Source organism: Homo sapiens, chromosome 8 (genome assembly GCF_000001405.40).
Source record: "Homo sapiens chromosome 8, GRCh38.p14 Primary Assembly".
NCBI lineage: Eukaryota > Metazoa > Chordata > Mammalia > Primates > Hominidae > Homo > Homo sapiens.
Genome location: NC_000008.11, coordinates 123593274 through 123612950, shown reverse-complemented (window position 1 = coordinate 123612950; position 19677 = coordinate 123593274).

The window sequence follows — 19677 nt, the reverse complement described above, 5'->3', positions numbered from 1 at the left end:
CACAGCCATGTCCCCAGAGCTCTGGCTCCATCCAGAAACAAGGTGGTCTGGCCCTGCCTCAGGCCACGGTGTCCTGGCCCATTGTGTCTCAAAGGCACAACATCCCTTCACCCACACCTCAGCCCATGCTCCACTGAGTGTGCTTCACAGAGCACTCCAGGCTTTTTGCTCTGTCCTTCGCAGAGCTTGATTCCAGCTCCATCCTGTAACCATCAGAGAGGGCATGTGCTCCCGAAAGACACTCCCTGCTGAGCTCAAAACCTCCTTCCTTCCAACACCAACCCTGCCCTTCATACCAACTATTTAGGCATCTCCACCTCCACTCTCTCTCACTCTCCTAAGGGACTTGTCAGTCCCTCCTGCTCACACTCCCTAGAAGTCTGGCCTCATTGGCCTCTAGACAAGCCCAGACATGTCTACCACCAACAGAAAACATAGCTCTTAAGTCTTCAAGCCAGGACCACCACCACCCATAGTTCCCTGAGGAATACCAGGGAAGTTTGGGGCCAAGAAGGATGTAGTCCTCAAGGGGTTGAATACCTAAAACCTAAAGGAGTACAACAGAAATGTAAGATGATAACATTAGGGAAAACTGAAACTGAATGAGGGGTGTATGGGAACTTCTGTACTATCTTTTCAACTTTGCTGTAAATCTAAAACTATTCCAAAATGTGAAGTTTATTTTGGAAACAAAGAGAAAAAGAAGGGAAGGAAGGAAAGAGGAAGGAAGGAAGGAAGGAAGGAAAGAAGGAAGGAAGGAAGGAAGGAAGGAAGGAAGGAAGGAAGGAAGGAAGGAAGGGGAGGGGAGGGGAGGGGAGGGGAGGGGAGGGGAGAGAGGGGAGGGGAGGGGGAGGGGGGAAGGGAAGAGGATGTGAAGAAAGAAGGAAAAAGACATTATCTTTCTGTAGGGGTTCAGATTAGAAAAGACAATATCTAATCAGGCCTATCAGTGATTGCTACAAAAAATGTTACATAATGAACTCTAACATCTTTAAAAACAAAAAAAGGGAGGCATGCCCTTTTCCCGGCATGTACATTGCACCCTACTTCCCTACACATGCACACACACATGCACACACAACACATACACACACAAACCTACTACCATCACTACCCACCATCAAGGAATGAATTGCAGGCCCTTGGTTCTATCCTTTCAAGAGGGTTCAATCTTGCCATTGCCATTTGGAGTAACCAGGTATTTCTCGCCCTTCACCTATGGGGTCAGAAAGCACTTCCTGGAAATAGGAATGCTTTTACACTTGTGGGGGGAGTGTAAATTAGTTCAACCATTGTGGAAGACAGTGTGGCGATTCCTCAAGGATCTAGAACCAGAAATACCATTTGACCCAGCAATCCCATTACTGGATATATACTCAAAGGGTTATAAATCATTCTACTATAAAGACACATGAACACATATGTTTATTGAAGCACTATTCACAATAGCAAAGACTTGGAACCAACCCAAATGCCCATCAATAATAGACTGGATAAAGAAAATGTGGCACATATACACCATGGACTACTATGCAGCCATAAAAAAGGATGAGTTCATGTCTTTGCAGAGACATGAATCAAGCTAGAAGCCATCATTCTTAGCAAACTAACACAGGAACAGAAAACCAAACACTACATGTTCTCACTCATAAGTGGGAGTTGAACAATGAGAACATATGGACACAGGGAGGGGAATATCACACACCAGGGCCTGCTGGGGAGTGGGGGGCTAGGAGAGGGATAGCATTAGAAGAAATATCTAATGTAGATGATGGGTTGATGGGTGCAGCAAACCACCATGGCATGTGTTTACCTATCTAAGAAACCTGCACGTTCTGCACATGTATTCCAGAACTTAAAGTATAATTAAAAAAAAAAAAAAGCACTTCCTAGCCCCTTTGTGGGAGGTACAGTCATGTGACCAGTTCCAGCCAACCAGATGCAGCCAGAAGTGATGTGTTCCAGTGAAGCATTTGATTATGAGATGAGTCTCTCCAGAGTTCACTTTCCTTCTGTCTCCGTGATTACCCACATCCTGAGTTTGTGAGGAGACATGGAGGCTAGCCTCCAGGTGACTCACAATAGGTGTGTGATACGAGTGAAAAATCAACCTTTGTTCTTATAAGCCACTAAGATATTGGGACTGCTTGTTACCACAGCATAACTTAGCCTATCTTGACTGACACACCCTCTTTTCTTGACAGATATTCTAGTCTTTCTCCCAACTGCTATATTAGTGAGCCAGTCATAGCATTCTGCCACCTGCTTTTCATTCTTCCTATATAGTCTTTAAATGCCTCTGAATAATGTTTTCGTGCCTTTATCTATTTCTTCAGCCTGAAATGTCCTTCCTCACCAAATGCTAAAATTAGTTTCATCCTTTAAAGCCCTGCTCAAAAAAACCCTGAAGCCTTCTCTAAGTCCTGTGTTGGAATGAACAGCTCCTGCTGCTCCATGATTCTTAATTTGAGTCATTAGTATATATCTTATCACACCTCAGTAGAGAGGTGTGTCTTTCTGCTTCATGGACTGTAAGCTCCTCCAGGACAAGACTAGAGCTAGTGCATCTCTGTATTTGCCACACAAGCACCCTGGACACAGCTGGCATGTTCCATCATTATCATCTCCAGCCTTAGAATACACTGACTTTGAATCTGAAGAAAATCAAACTACCCACTTATTAATTTATCTTAGGCCTATGAACATTTATTGAGGGCCTATTAAGGGGCAGGCACTATATTGGGTGCTGGGGATTTAGAGATGTGAATGGCATGACTCCTGCCTCCAAATCCCTCAATCTAGTGGAAGAAAAAGAGACATAAGCAGATAATTGTAATGTACATTTATATTCAGTATAACTTGTTTCATAGACTTATGGTCAAATGCACTCATTTGATTTTATTTTTCCAATTAATAACTCATACCAGTATCAGCAGAAGGGCTGGTATACTCGTCTTTAGGGCCTCCATGCTTCCTTTCAGACATAACCCTGTTGGCTTAGTCCAGTGGGGTGGGAGTGGGAGAAGGGCCTTGCCATACAGGAGCAGAGAAGAGCAGAGTCATCTCCCGACACTCCCACTTCTTCTGATGTTGCTGTGGACTACGAGGCCTGCAGAGCCAAAAAGATGGTGCTCGTCTGCTGCTGCAGCCGGCGCCCACAGGTCCCGATCCCACCCACCCTGTGGAGCTGCCATCTGAGTGGGTGTCCCTTTCTGGTTTCCACTCCTCCACTAAGTCATGGTTCTCCAAAGCCTAAGCTCTGGGCCCAGGTTCCTTGGTCTGGAGAAACTTCCAGCATCAACCACATTCAGAGCTGGTCTAGCCTCCTCCTCCAACTCTCAGACCCTTGTGTGGAGCCCAAGGCCCAGCCTAGCCTCCCATTTCCTTGAAACAACTTTATCTCATGGGACCTGTTGCCTGTTTCCAGCCATAAGCATCAGTCAGAACCATGTCCACCCTGAAAGAGCTTCCTATCTTCCACTCTTAAGATTGCAGAAGCTGGGGGATCAGCCCCTTCCCTCCCTGAGGACCCTGCTTATTATTCAAGTAGGGTGAGGACTGGGCCCTGCCAGCAAGGCCCTGCCCCTATTCCCACCGCTTCTCCTAGAGCTTTGTGTGCCGAGGATAAAGAGAGTTGTTGCTAAAGTTTCCTGTGGCACTCTGATCTCTGGATCACTGGTGCCCACTTGCCTTTCATTCACATAAGTAAAAGGATGACTGAAGTGACCCCTCGGGACAAAAAGGCCAGTGGTTCATTATGATACTATAATAGGACAAGCACCCAGTGCTGTGGAGCCCAGAAGAACATCTGATCCAGAATGGGGAATGGGAGCAGGAAGTCAAGGAAGGCTGCTTGTATCATTTACCTGTGCTATGATTCCCCAGCTTATGTCCATCTTACATGTCTGTGCCTTAGGCCAGGGAGCTGGTCTGAATGAACTCAGGTCCTCAGGTGTTTGTCAGTTTCAAAACAGGTGGAGTCTCCTTGGAACTGGAGCAAACCACAGAGCTGGGGAGGAGGTGAGGACTCACGATGAAGTAGAGGTGGGAATGACGAGACAGAAGTTTGAGGAGTCGGCACTCGAGCCCTAGTGCCAGCAATTAGTGATCTGTGGCCAACTGTTTTCAAACACTGAACAGACACCGAAGTTCAGGAGCTTGTGGGCTGGGCTGAGCAAGGCAGACCCAGGGGCACAGGGCAGGTTTGCTGCTCAGCAAGGGCTCCCATTGAGGAATGAGTAAGTGCACAGAGGCATAGAAGCGAAGGCCCACCTCTTCCTGAGCAGGTTCAGAAAGGCTCTGTGGAGCAGACAACGTTAGAGGTGGGTCTACATGGCCTCGGTTAGTCTAGAAGATGACTGGACAAATTTAGAAAAGCCTTCTGCTTTAGGGAGACAAAGAGGAAAAATACACCTACTCCGAGCCAGACACATAGTCAATAATACTTGGTGAGAGGAACACAGGCTGGGTTTCAGGCTCCACTCTCTGCCCTGGACAGGTGCCTTGGCAGAGTGTGCAAAATGCAAACACAGTTAAAGTGACCCTGCCCAACAATCCCATTCCTGGGTATACACCCAAAGGAAAAGAAATTGTTTTACCAAAAAGACACATGTACTCGTATGTTCATAGCAGCACTATTCACAATAGCAAAGACATGGAGGCCACCTAGGTGCCCATCAACTAGATGAAGAAAATGTGGTACCTGTGCACCTATGCACCCACAAAAAAGAGCAAAATCATGTACTTTGCAGCAATATGGACGCAGCTGGAGGCCATTATCCTAAGTGAATTAACACAGGAACAGAAAACCAAACACTGACAGGCCGGGCACGATGGCTGACACCTGTAATCTGAGCACTTTGGGAGGCCAAGGTGGGTGGATCACTTGAGCCTGGGAGTTCAAAACCAGCCCAGGCAACATGGTGACACACAGTCTCTACCAAGAATACAAAAATTGGCCAGGTGTGGTGTCACGGGCTTGTAGTTCCAGCTACTTGGGAGGCTGAGATGGGAAGATTGCTTGAGCATAGGAGTTTGATACTGCAGTGAACTGTGATTGTGCCACTGCACTCCAGCCTGGGTGTCAGTGTGTGAGACCCTGAGTCAAAAAAAAAAAAAAAAAAAAAAAAGAACTTTTTCAGTGTTGGGAGGGTGTATGTGTCCAGGAATTTATCTATTTCTTCTAGATTTTCTAGTTTACTTGCATAGAGGTGTTTACAGTATTCTCTGGTGATTGTTTGTATTTTTGTGGGTTCAGTGGTGATAGCTCCTTTATCGTTTTTTATTGTGTCTATTTCTTTCTTCTCTCTTCTCTCTTCTTTATTAGTCTAGCTAACGGTCTATTTATTCATTTTTTCCAAAAAACAGCTCTTGGATTCATTGATTTTTTGAAGGGTTTTTGTGTCTCTATCTCCTTCAGTTCCGCTCTGATCTTGGTTATTTCTTGTCTTCTGCTAGCTTTGGGATTTGTTTACTCTTGGTTCTCTAGTTCTTTTAGTTGTGATGTTAGGGTGTCGATCTGAGATCTTTCTAGCTTTTTGATGTGGGCATTTAGAAGAGGAAAGAAAACCTAATACCATATGTTCTTACTTATAAGTGGGAGCTAAACCTTGGGTACTCATGAGCATAAAGATGGGAATGATAGACAATAAGGACTGCTAGAGCTGGGAGGGAAGGCGGGGGACAAGGGTTCAAAAACTCCTATTAGGTACTATGCTTAGTACCTGGGTGATGGGATCATTCATACCCCAAACCTCAGTGTCACACAACATAGCCATGTCACAAACCTGCACATAGACCCCTGAATCTAAACTAAACGTTGAAATTATAAAAAAATCATAATAAAAATAAAGTGACCCTGGCTTCGAAGAAGGAGTGAGAAAGTGCCCTGAAGAGAATGGAAAAGGCAATCCAGGCAGACGAACAACGTGGGCAAAGTCCAAGGGCTAAGGCAGAACTTGATCCCGAGACACCTTTAAACTTCCTGCCTCTGTGGGAAGTGGTCCCAGAGTGCAGGTGAACCAGGGTTTACAGGGATGAATTGTAAAACAATTGCCACCATTAGAGAGCAATAAAAAGGCACCACTGTTAGAGATCAGTTCTCAATCTATGGAGGATAGGGATGAGAGCTGAAATGACGAGGTGGCTGTCATTGGCAGAGAAATTATTCAGCAAGCTTCAAATATGTGGAAAACACCTGGGGCTGATCCATCCCTTCATTAAAAAAAAAAAAAGAAAAAATCCTTTCTCTTCTAAACTAGGATTCAGAGACTGAATCTCCAAAAATAACTATTCTTAGCTCTTCATTTTCCTTTGTGAGTTTGGAAAAGAACAAACACATTTTACTTGGCTGGTTTTGACCTTCTCTGCAGTAGACATACCTTCCCCACCGGCCCCCGCACCAGGGATGAGTCACTAGGGAGAACATTTTAATCAGACCACCACCATCCACAGACAATACAAGGAGATAAAACACCTGTGAGTGTGGACCATTAAAGCCAGTTCTTTATGAAATAAACAAGGCCATTTGCTTACTCTAGGTCTCCCAGAATTAAGCCAAGTGAAAAGGTGGAGGAGGCCACCCCACCACAACCAATGGTGTGATTTGAGAGAGGCAAAAGGTTTGCTAACTCTACCTCAAAACAGTCAAAAGCCCCTGCCGAAGCTTTGCAAGTGCTACAAAAATCACTCTCAGAAAATGGCAGTCTTCTGTAGGTGCTATGGAATCTTCTCAAGAGGACCTGTCTGCACAGCAGCCATGCCTCCCTTCCCTTGCAATAGTACCCTGATTCCCAAGTACCCTCCCGCAGGTGTTGCAGGGGAGGCAGGTGTAAACCCCAGCTCTGGAAGGTGAGTCAGGATTGGTCCAAGAAGGTCGTGAAGGACCCGTTCCCCTTGCCAGCTTTGGTTTAGCCATGGGCACATGCCACAATTCCAGCCAATGAGCTATAAGGGGAAGTCTGTGGGAGACAGGGAGTGACTTAGAGAAAAGATCTCTTAGCTCTTACAAAGAAACACAAGGAAGGGACAGCCTGTGTTTCTGCCTGGGACCACGGGTGTGTATGGATGTGTTTTCTGAAATTCGATGTCAGTTAGACTGAGTGACACACACAAAGGGTGGTGAAGCCAAAAGATACCAAAAACCTGGGTGCATGATGAATCATGAAGCTATAGAACTAACCAACAAAGAAATGGTCCTTCTTAGGACTCTCGTTATATGAGTTAATAAGTATTCTTATTTTTTTAGAGATTTTTAATTGAGAGCATTATGCAGTTCTTGCATTGCTGTAAAGAAATACCTGAGACTGGGTAATTTATAAAGAAAATAGGTTTAATTGGCTCGTGGTTCTGCAGGCTGCACAGGAAACATAGCAGCTTCTGCTTCTGGGAAGGCCTCAGCAAACTTACAATTATGGCAGAAAGTGAAGCGGGGAGCAAGTATAAGACAAAGAAAGACAGCAAGACTGAATCTTGTGTTTTTAGCCTGAATGATGTTGCCATTACCAAGATAGGAAACACTGGCTGGAACAGTTTTGGGGAGTGGGAGGGTAGCAAGTGTTCCATTTTGGATAAAGTAGGGGCTTTTAGACTTCCTAGTGAGGCTAATCATCAGGCAGTTGGGTTTGTGAGTTTGGAGTTTAGAGTAGGTGAGGCTAGAGATACAAATTTGATAGTCATTCAGCAAATAGGAGGTGTCTAAAGTCAGGGGACCAGAAGAGAGGATCGAGAGAATGTGTACAGATAGGAGAGAAGATGGATCTAGGGCTCTACAACACGTTATAATGGGAAGAGGAGGCCCGTGCAGCAAATAGACAAAAGAATCCTCCAGAATCCAGGTGAAGGACATGTTTTGAAGCAGGAAGGATCAATTGTGTCGAAAGCTGTCAATAGGTCATGACAAAGACTCAGAATTGACCACTGGATTTGGCAACATGGAGGCAGCTGTTGACCTTGAAGAAAGCATTCCAAGATCAAAAATACTCTTAAAACATTGGAGCTGTTTCGAGCAGAAGGAGTGGAAGACAGTTTGCATTACAGGCAAAGCTGTGCATTCACATAACCCACAATCCAGCAATTCTATTTCTAATATCTACCACAGGGGAACCCTAGCACACAAGCACCACAAAACATATCCAAGAGTGTTCAGAATGACACTGTTCAAAATGGCCCCAAACTGAAAACAACCCAAATGTCCATCAATCCTAGAATAGTAGAACACATATGTAAATTTGAGTATTGTGATACAATAAATACAATGTAATACAATACAGCGAAGCAAATGAATAAACCTTCGGAGACAACAACATCGATAAATACTAACAATAAAATGCTGAGGTTTTAAAAGAAACGAGTCACAAAAGAACACATATAATATTATTCAACTCATGTGAAATTCGAAAACAGGCAAAATCAAACTACAGTTGATCCTTAAACAACAAAGATTTGAACCACTCAGGTCCACTGGTACACAGATTTTCTTCCTCCTCTGCCACCCCTGAGACAGCAAGACCAACCCTTCCTCTTCCTTCTCCTCCTCAGCCTACTCAACATGAAGATGACGAGGACAAAGATCTTCATGATGATCCACTTCCATTCAGTGAATCATACATATTTTTATCTCTTCCTTATGATTTTCTTAATAACGTTTTCTTTTTTCTAGCTTGCTTTACTATAAGAATATAGAATTGCAATATATATGACTTACAAAATATGTGTTAATCAACTGTTTTTGTTCTCAGTAAGGCTTCCAGTCAATAGTAGGCTATTAGTGGTTAAGTTTTGGGGAAGTCAAAGGTTATATGCGGATTTTCAACTGCACAGGGGGTCAGGGCCCCAGCTCCCGTGTTGTTCGAGGATGAATTATATATTGTTTAAGGATGCATACGTAAGTGATAAAACTCAGAAAAAAGGCAAAAAAATATATTTTTTAACTTTTATTTTAGATTTGGGGGTACATGTGAAGGTTTGTTACATAGAAAACTTGTGTCTTGGGGGTTTGTTGTACAGATTATTTCATCACCCAGATAACCCAATAGTTCTCTTTTCTGCTCTTCTCCCACTTCCCACCCTCCACCCTCAAGTAGACCACATTGTCTGTTGTTTCCTTCTTTGTGTTCATAAGTTCTCATCATCGAGCGTCCATTTATAAGTGAGGATATGTGGTATATGGTTTTCTGTTCCTCATTAGTTTGCTAAGGATAATAGCCTCCAGCTCCATCCATGTTCCTGGAAGAGACATGATCCCATTCTTTTTTATGACTGCATAGTACTCCATGGTATGCATGCACCACATTTTTTAAATCCAATCTGTCATTGATGGGCATTTAGGTTGATTTTATGTCTTTGCTATCGTGAATAGTGCTGCAATGAACATTTGCATGCATGTGTCTTTATGATAGAGTAATTTCTATTCTTCTGGGCATATACCCAGTAATGGCATGGCTGAGTCAAGTGGTAGTTTTGCTTTTAGCTCTTTGAGGAATCACCATACTGCTTTCCACAATGGTTGAACTAATTTACACTCCCACCAACAGTACATATTTAAAGTAAGGTTAGTCAAAATCATTATTTTCTGCATCTGTGTCCGGCTACTTGACGTAGATAAAGAACAGGAGGAGAGTTGGAATTTTGTCCGTTGAATATAATGGAGAGAGAGAGTGCAAGGGTGTGGCTGACCTAGCAGGGCATGGACTCTAAGCTGGTCAATAAGAGAAGTACAGACAGTAGCAAACTTCGTATTCACTACTGATAACACCGTCTTCAACTGCCAATGTAATTATTACTGCCATTTGTGTTTTAAAGATATCGCAAGGGAATTTGTTCCAACAGGACTTGGTATTTTATCTGCTTTTAAAAATTTTTAATGTCTATAAAGATATAAAAGTCTTTGGGAAAACTGGGCTTTTAAAATTTGCCCTGATAGGCTCCTGGTTTTACCAGAAAACTGATAAGACACAGGAAAGCCTGGGAACCACTATCTCATGCAATCTTCCCCCAAGTAAGGGTACATTTCATGGGAACAACATGCTCTGCTGATTATCATCATAGGGCAAGGCAAAAGACAGATCTGACCTCTAAGCCCATCTCTATCCCCAGCTGAATTTGGCCAGGTTTCTTAGCCTCTTTCAACTTCAGTCTTTTCATCCACACAGTAGGGATAACAATAATATCTTCCTCCTAAAATTGTCATAAGGATTAAATGAGAAAATTCACATAAAGTGCTTAGCAAGGTGCCAAGCACATCATAAATATTCAATAAAAAATAATCATAGTGAGTTAGAGTAAGTACTCAAAAAACGTTAGCTGGTTTTGTTTGTTGGTGGTGGTTCTGTTGCTTTTGAGTGATTTAACCCCTAATAAGGAGTTAAATGTTTGAATACCTCCAGGATAAGGAAGTTTCAATCTTACTGATATTCTATTCTATAGTTGGCCAACCTTAATTTGATTTGAGACATCCTGGAAGCACTTAGGTTCTTAGCACTGTTTTAAGCACCTTATATGTATATTTCACTTAATTTGCACAACAGGATTCAAAACCAGATCTTTCTGCTGCTAGAATCTATACTTTTTCCCCAGTGAGACACTCTTCTTCCTGACAAATTCAATCATTTTTTCTAGTTCTGCTCTCAGGAAGGACTTAGAGGAAGTCAGCTCCTCTCCTACATGGTGGTTTCCTCCAAATTGAATGGCAAACTCTCCAGAGGTGCTGATCACACTGGGAGTTTGTCTCCTCACCTGGTTGGGGCTATTGGGAAAGTCAGGGGCTGGCAGTGTCAGAATGGCCTCAGGGTTCACTGGCTCCACTACTTACAGCCAGAAACCTCCTCCCAGAGAGATCTTTAATCTAAAGTTATTTCCATAATGTCCAGGGAAGCAACTTTTCTGCCAGTAAAACAAGGATCTGTTGATCCCATAGTCCCAGGATAGAATCCTAATACATGACTTTCTGCCTCAAATGGATGTGCTGTCCTTTCTTCATTCAACCAGAAAGCTGTTAGTATTTGCCAAGTACACAGGCACCCAGGGGAGTGTCAAGGAAATAGAAGGTCTGGTGCCTAAGAACATAAGGACACCTTATAAGGACACTCTAAGAGCCTATGTGGCCTCAGATAAATCACTTCACCATCCTAACCCTCAGCTTTCTCTATGTGAAATGGGGATAGGAATAATTCCCAATGCAAGGATTGAATGAGATGATGCTAGTGATTATTATGGAAGGTATTCACATAGATTCCCTTCTTCCTTGTCATCAGAACCCCAGTTTTGTTCAGGAAAGTACCTGCTCCAAGACTATGAATTAAAATATATCTGATATGGTTAAGACCATCATCTTCCTCTCCACCAAGATGCTCACTTTCCCAGCCTCCCTTATGCCTAGGGATCCCCATTTGATCTTGTTCTGACTAATGAGAGGTAAAGAGAAGTCATCTGGAAGTCTTCTGGGAAACTTTTTGGTTTCCTGTAAAAGGAACAGGCATGAAGTCATACATAGAAGCGCTTTCACCTCATCCCACCCCACCTACAAATACATACACTGTATCTTCTTTGAATTCAGATGCAATGCCTGGAGCTGGGGTAGCCACCTTGTGACCAAGAAGCAGTAAGTTTGAAGGCAACAGTCAAAAGCTAAGTAGAGAGAGGCAGAAATGAAGAATGACCCTGGATACTTGACGAGACATTAGAGCTGATAAATCAACCTCAAAATACCTACCTCATAGTTCTCAAGTGAGATTATAAATGCTTGAGTACTTAAGCCACTAGTGTCAGTTTTTCTGAATAATTGACTTGATGCTATCATCTATTGTTACCATTCACTCCAAGCTCCCATCACTGATCCTTCTATGACTTTGAGGGGTGAACCATGTCTCTGAGTACCAAAGGGGCTTTTGAGGGACATTACTTTAACCAAGGCATACACAGTAAAGTCAAGCCCCTCTATTATTTTCCATAAAGTCCTCCTATACAAAGAACCCCAGCAGAGTCTGCAAATGAGGGGCCTTTAGTCCTATGTGGTTTACACAACGCTTCTCAGGGAGTATTCCAGTATGACACCATATATGCAGGCTCATGGGTCAACTGCATTCTCCATATGTCTCATATGTTGTGCTGACACCATTCTAGGTGTATCCTGGGCATTCTGCTCTGTTTCAATGGGAAAACTTCTCCTGACTCTGAGAATCAGGTTTCACAATTACCCATTGTATTAGTCCATTTTCACACTGCTGATAAAGACATATCCAAAACTGGGTAATTTATAAAGAAAAAGAAGTTTAATGGACTCAGAGTTCCATGTGGTTAGGGATGCCTCACAATCATGGCAGAAGGCAAAAGGCACATCTTATATGACAGCAGGCAAGACAGAATGACGACCAAGTGAAAAGGGTTTCTCCTCATAAAACCATCAGATCTTGTGAGATTTATTCACTATCATGAGAACAGTGGGAGGGAAACTGCTCCCATGATTCAATTATCTTCCACTGTGTCCCTCCCACAACACGTGTGAATTATGGGAGCTACAATTCAAGATGAGATTTGGGTGGGGACACAGCCAAACCATATCACACACGAAGACAGAGGAGGGATCTGAACATGGGAGCAAATGCATAGAAAATGCTCAGCACAGTAGCTGGTACCTGACAGTTTCTCAATAAAAGGCAGCTATTATTCTCATGATGATCAGGACCATTCTCATTATAGAACACAATTGCTGTCACTTCTAAATTCAGCTACTCCACAAAGGGATCACAGGCCCTGCACTTCCAAGCCCACCCACTGTCTGTGACTTGGATATTAGGATTATTTCTCACATAGCATGCTTCCAGAGCAGGAGGGGCCTGGCAGGTTGTGGTAGGTGAGCAGGTGCCTGAATAGGCTACACAGAGAAGGAGGCAGCACTTAGCCTGACCATTCAGAAGATGAGTCAAGGCCATGGTAAAGAAATCATACACTGTCTTCCAAACCTAAGCTGAATGTCAAGATGAATTTTATATCATTCATCACCCAACAAGTATTCATTGAGGCACAAGGCAGGTGCTCAAAACTGTACTGAAAAGAAAAACCCTAAAAAACAAGACAGAGAGTGGGATGTATACTGCAGAGAGTATTTGTGGCTTGACTGAAAGAATTATGCCAGGAAAACATCCTCAGGTTTTAGCTGCTCACTTTCCTGGAATTCTAACTGAGTTACCAAGCTAGAAGATCCTGGAAGACACACACCAAGCTTGCCAACAGAGTGCTCCTCTAAAATACACCCTGCAGCTCTGTAAACAAGCCAACCCCATACATCCAAATGACCATGTGCTGAGACCATGTCTACGTGGTGCTTTCTGCCCACGGGGAGCCACCCTCGTGAGTGGTAGAGTGGGTGCACAGAGCGAAGGATGGAAACCAGGAGACATTTTCTCCACCAGCCCCCACCCCCCACTGAATTGCTGCCTGTCTCCCTGTGGATCACTGAGCCCCCCAGACCCCCATTTCCCCACCTATCAAGTGAAGGGGCTGGATTCCATGGCCCCTGTGATGATTAACTTTATGTATCCACTTGGCTGGGACGCAATGCCAGAAAAGTGGTCAAACAGTATGCTGTATGTTTCTGTGAAGGTGTTTTGTGGATGAGATTTACATTAAAATCTGTGGGCTTTGAGGAAAGCAGATGACCCTCCATCATGCAGGCAGGCCTCACCCAATCAGTGGAAGGCCTGAATAGAACAGACTGGCCTCCCCACACAAGAAGGCATCCTGCCAGCCGACAGCCTTTGGTTGGACTCAGACTGCAATTCTTCCCTGAGCCTCCATCCTGCCGGCCCACTCCAGATTTTAGACTCCCCAAGCCGCTACAATCATGTGAGCCAATTTCTTTTATATATATATATATATAATATATAATATATTATATATATAATATATATAATATATAATATATATAATATATATAATATATTATATATATTATATATAATATATAATATATATATATTATATATATATAAAATACTTTTTTCTTTTATATATATTTATATATATATATTATACTTTAAGTTCTAGGGTACATGTGCACAACGTGCAGATTTGTTACATATGTATACATGTGCCATGTTGGTGTGCTGCACCCATTAACTCGTCATATAACATTAGGTATATCTCCTAATGCTATCCCTCCCCACTCCCCGTACCCTACAACAGGCCCCGGTGTGTGATGTTCCCCTTCCTGTGTCCAAGTGTTCTCATTGTTCAGTTCCCACCTATGAGTGAGAATATGCAGTGTTTGGTTTTTTGTCCTTGCGATAGTTTGCTGAGAATGATGGTTTCCAGCTTCATCCATGTCCCTACAAAGGACATGAACTCATCCTTTTTTATGGCTGCATAGTATTCCATGGTGTATATGTGCCACATTTTCTTAATCCAGTCTATCATTGTTGGACATTTGGGTTGGTTCCAAGTCTTTGCTATTGTGAATAGTGCCACAATAAACATACGTGTGCATGTGTCTTTATAGCAGCATGACTTATAATTCTTTGGGTATATACCAGTAATGGGATGGCTGGGTCAAATGGTATTTCTAGCTCTAGATCCCTGAGGAATTGCCACACTGTCTTCCACAATGGTTGAACTAGTTTACAGTCCCACCAACGGTGTAAAAGTGTTCCTATTTCTCCACATCCTCTCCAGCACCTGTTGTTTCCTGGCTTTTTAATGATCGCCATTCTAACTGGTGTGAGATGTTATCTCATTGTGGTTTTGATTTGCATTTCTCTGATGGCCAGTGATGATGAGCATTTCTTCGTGTGTCTGTTGAGCCAATTTCTTAAAATGTGTGTGTACCCCCACACATTCTGTTGCTTCTGTTTCTCTGGAGAACCCTGACTAAGACAACCCCCAAACTCCTTTCCCATTCTAAGTTGCTGGAAGACTGATGGCAGAAGGGAAGGTTAGGCCCATCTCTCAGCCTGAAGCTCCCCAGGGCGGAGATGTTAAAGTGATCGAGACAATGGCCTCTTTTAGGAGGACTTGTGCAATGGGCCTCCTCGGCACAGCAATAAATACCAGTAGTTCCAGAACTGGTACACCAAGTACTGTGGGGTGTGGGGTGAGATAAATTGATATGAACACAGCCAAGAGGAAATCCAAAATAGGAGGTTATGAAGACAGCCTCACATTCCACAGGTTTTGCCGTCCTCTGTTGGGAGCTCCTCATCCACTTGTCACTTGACAGCACCGTTATCCCAGAGGCAAGAAACAAGTTTGTTTTTTACTGGTGACTGATGAGGTCTTGTTACAGAACTGCAGAGCAGCAAGACACAATTTGGTAAAGATCTGGGAAAGAGGTAGAGCAGAGAACATCCTGATATTCAAATCCATTCGAAGATCACAGCCACTTGGAAGAGCCTGCTCCACGCCAGCTGTTCCTGGATGCCCTGGGACCTTTGCATGCCTGTCCTTCAACCACACTCCCAGCAGATCCCAGCCACAGCTTGCAGAACTAGAGAGGGCACAGGCGGGAGATGACGACTCATTCTCAGCCTCCTTTGCCAGCTTTTCTTCCTCCTTGAGTCCTGTGTGCCCCAGGTTCCATCAAAGGCCCTCTGCTCTTCTCTTCCCTCCTACACGTTTCCAGGTTGTCCCACCCAGACCCAAACCTTCAATTCTCTCACTCCTGTGGATGAACCCCAAATCTAGATGTCCATCTCTGGCTGCTCTCCTGTGCTCCTGACCTGAGCTCCCCTAGAACATAAGCTGCATTGAGGACAAGCATGGGTGTCTCTTTTCTCTGATGTGTCTCCAGCTCCTGGAATATATTTGGTGATGAATAAATATCTGTTGAATCAATTAATGAATGTGCATTCAGCCATGTTGAAACATCTCCACTTAGGCTCTCTTGGACTAAGCATACATAAAACCAAACCCATATTCTTTCCCCCCGCCAAAACCAGGCCTCCCGCTGTGTCCCTCACTTTGTGGATTCTCTGCACTATCCATTTCCTAGCTCAATTCTGAAATCTGGGTGTCCCCTCTCTCTCATTTGCTCGCCATCACCTCCCACTTCCAGTGAATCTCCAGATTCTATCCTCTTATGCCTCTTACCTGCTCAGTCTTCTCTTTCCCCACCTGGAGTGAGGAGTGAGCCACCTGTCCCTCTTATGGTATCATAGTCATCTGTTTACTTTTCTGCTTCTCCAATTAAACAAGGAGTCATGTAATCACAATGACCTAAGGTACTGACATTTACCTGTGTGTATGGGGAGGAAGGAGTCCCAGAATCTGAATCCCCTGCTTCTTATTTTGGGAAAATCCCTCCCCTGTGGTCATAAGCATGTGACCTGGCCTCACCCTCAGAAGCTTTCACCCAGGACTTAGAAACTGGAGGGAGGAAAGCCAAGAGGCAAGTTCCTCCAGAGCTTATTCATGCTCCGGCCATCAGGGTGGCTGTACCAGCAGGGTGGTGCCAGCTCTGAGTCCTCACCAGCAGGCTGCTCTCGGGCGGGCCCTGGGGCTGTGCTCTTGGTGGACCGGCTCCCTTTGTTCCTACCTCTTGCCCAAGCCCAGTTCTCCAGCTTCCCACCAACTGTGAGAAGCGACCATTATCCTTATGTCATGGCTCTTTTTATGAGTAAGTTTAGTTAGGGTCAGTTACTGGGCCTTGGAACCAAGAACTTTGACCGACATACCTGGTCTCACCTCTCTCTTAACCTCAGCATCTAGCAGGGTGCTTGTTATCTAATAGGTAGTTAGTGTGTGAATAAATAAATACATGAAAAGAGGAAGGAACAAAAGAAAAGGAGGAAAAGAAGAAGGAGAAAAAAAAACATCATTGTTATTCTTTTTTCCCCTTTGACTATTCCCCAAGTAAGGTGAGAAGGAGGGAGAGAAGGGCTGGGAAATGATAGACCACTGAACGTGATGAGCCTTGGGTCATTTTTAGCATTAGGACCCTCCTCCTTCTTCACTGGCTGCATCTTAGAGTCCTGGAAGAATGTGAGAAAATGTGTCATTCCCCGGCTTTGAGAAATCACCAGTACTTAGCACCCTCCAGGTAGTAAGCTGACAACCGTGCTTTGCTTTCTAGAATGACGTGAGTCCAACATGATGCCCGGTCTGACTTGGCAGAGCAAGGGAAAAAAAGGAATAGGGTCTGAGTGATTATGGAACGAAAGGTGAAACAGGGAGCTGGGAATTTGGGAAAGCACACAAAGCAAGCTTATAAAATTCCCATGCTTTATAAAAACCAGCTGATAATAGAAATTGGTATAAGTTTTCTGAAAATCACTCTGGCATTCCCTTTAACCCAATAATTCCACTTCAAAGCATCTATCTTAAGGAAGCAATTAGAAATATGGACCATGATTTATGTATAAAATAGTCATGTCAATGTTATTTATAACCGGAAAAAAAAATTGGAAGCAACTTAAATGTCTCACAGTAAGAAAATGGCTGAGTAAAACATGTCTCATCAATACAATGGAATATTAGACAGCAGTTAAAAATAGTGTTTGCAAAAGAACTATGAGGAAATGTGGTGACATAATGTTGTTATGCAGAAAAGACAAGAGACATCCAAAAACATGTATATAGGAAAATGTCTGTATTTGAACACAGCCTAGAAAGAGACAAAGTTTTCACAGGGGCTGTCTTTTCCTGGAGGAGGAAAAAAAAAAATCATGGAATGGTTTTCTCTTCAGTAACTTTTCTATAGTTTTCTACAATGAGCAAATATTACTTTGTTGATCAAGAAAAAGAAAATATAAGATTAAAATGCAAGAGTAAAAATTACAACGAAATATGGAGTTGCTCCTTACTCAATAAATAATGTAACCATTTTATTAACCTCAGTTTCTTCTTGCAACAATATAATAAATGTTAGAACAAATCTCATATAAGTAATTTAAATACACTGTCACTAAGCAGTTATCCAGCCAAGTTCAACTAATCCTCAGTTCTGCTCCAGCTGGTTTTGAGTTGTACATCAAAGAGACTGTTGGTGTTAACTGCCTCGATAAGAAGATGAAGAGGATTTATAATAATAATGGTTCATTATGTGCCAAGCACTGTACTAAGCTATTTCCTTTAATATTCACAAGAACCCACAGATACTGAGTTACAGGGAGGCTGAATAACCTGCCCAAGATCACACAGCTAATAATGGTAGAACTGGCCTTGAACCCAGGACGTCTGCCTCGGAGACGCCTGCACACTCCCACTGCTATACGTGCTGTTCCATCTCATACCCTCAACTGGGTCTTCAAAGGAATGATGGCTCTTACTGTCCCCCAAAAACACCACTCTTGAGTTTCTACTCTCACCGTCTTGAGATTCTGTTTTGTGACTCACAAAATTAATGGCTCTAAAACCTCATGCCTTCATGTCTCCCAGCCACAGTGCTTTTTATTTTTTCACCTTAAGTATCTGTCTCACTGTCTGTGATCCTTGATCATTATTTTTAGCTTTTTGAAAGGAACTTTTTAAAGTGCCAAATGCCCTTCCCTTAAAATGTTTTTTAATTTTAAAAAGTCTACCAAGAAGAAGCAGGATGGAATCATTACTAGGAGCTGGGTAAATGGTCAAGTAAACTATATTATTTTAATGAAGGGAAATTATTTTTATCAAGCCAAGAACAGGAATGCCTAGTGGTGGAATTTTGTTTGTTGGCAACAGTCTGACAAAAAAAAATATTTTGGATTAGATTTTATTCTGGGGCAAAGCAAAACAAATCAAAACCAAAAAAATAGTCCTCTTGTCACTTTTCCAGGGTTGGAAAATGGGAACCCACTGAAATTTCTATCTAATGACTTGGCCTACCAGGAATTTGGCCAGTCTGCTATCAAAAGATTGCTGTCCTGAGTCTTGTCATGGTGAAGGTGATGACCATCAAGAAGTGGCTCTGAGACCTTCTAGTCAAAGATCTTTCCACTGTAGGTGAAGAGAAACACCCCTTTCACCAACATTTATTGAGCAGCTACAGGAGAAGACACAGTGCTAAGACTTGAGGTGCAGGAATGAGTAACTCCCAGGGCTTCAGATTAAGATTAGGGACAAAAATGGAAATGACTAACTATATGACAACACAAATGCAGTAAGTGGCAAAATTCAAGTAAAGGACAATTTACTCAAGGCTATGCAGAAAGAAGCACAAATTTACAGGTGTGATCTCTTCCACTGGGGTGGAGGGTGGTGGTGGCTGTGTTCTGAAAGGCACAGAATTTGAAATTACTTCCATTTTCCAAAAGTATGGGACCCGAAAAACTCTCCCCACTCATCATCCTGCTCCAGCCAGGGTAGGTCAAATCAGAGCCCAGGAGTTCAAACACAAAGAGAAATCCTTTGCCTGCCTCTGCTTCAGTGGAGCTGGGTTTACCTTAGGGGCCAGGGGTCTAGAGGACATTTTTAGTTTCCTAGAGCCTAGATACCTGGAAGTCTGGGCTGACAAGTAATTTGAGTCTCCTAGAACCTAGATCCTCACTGAGTGCCTCGCTGCTTTTGCTCCAGCTAACTCCAGCAGCATCAACAAGAGAATGACGTGCTAAGCCTTAGCTGTCCTATTCTTTCTCGTGAAATGAGGGCTTTTGAAAACAAGAGGAATACAAATAGCCTTATGGATGTAAAAAGTCGTGGAAACCCCCTAATAACCAGTAAAACATCGATCTGGTGCTTCCATTTTTTACTCATCAGATAGGCAAAATTTTT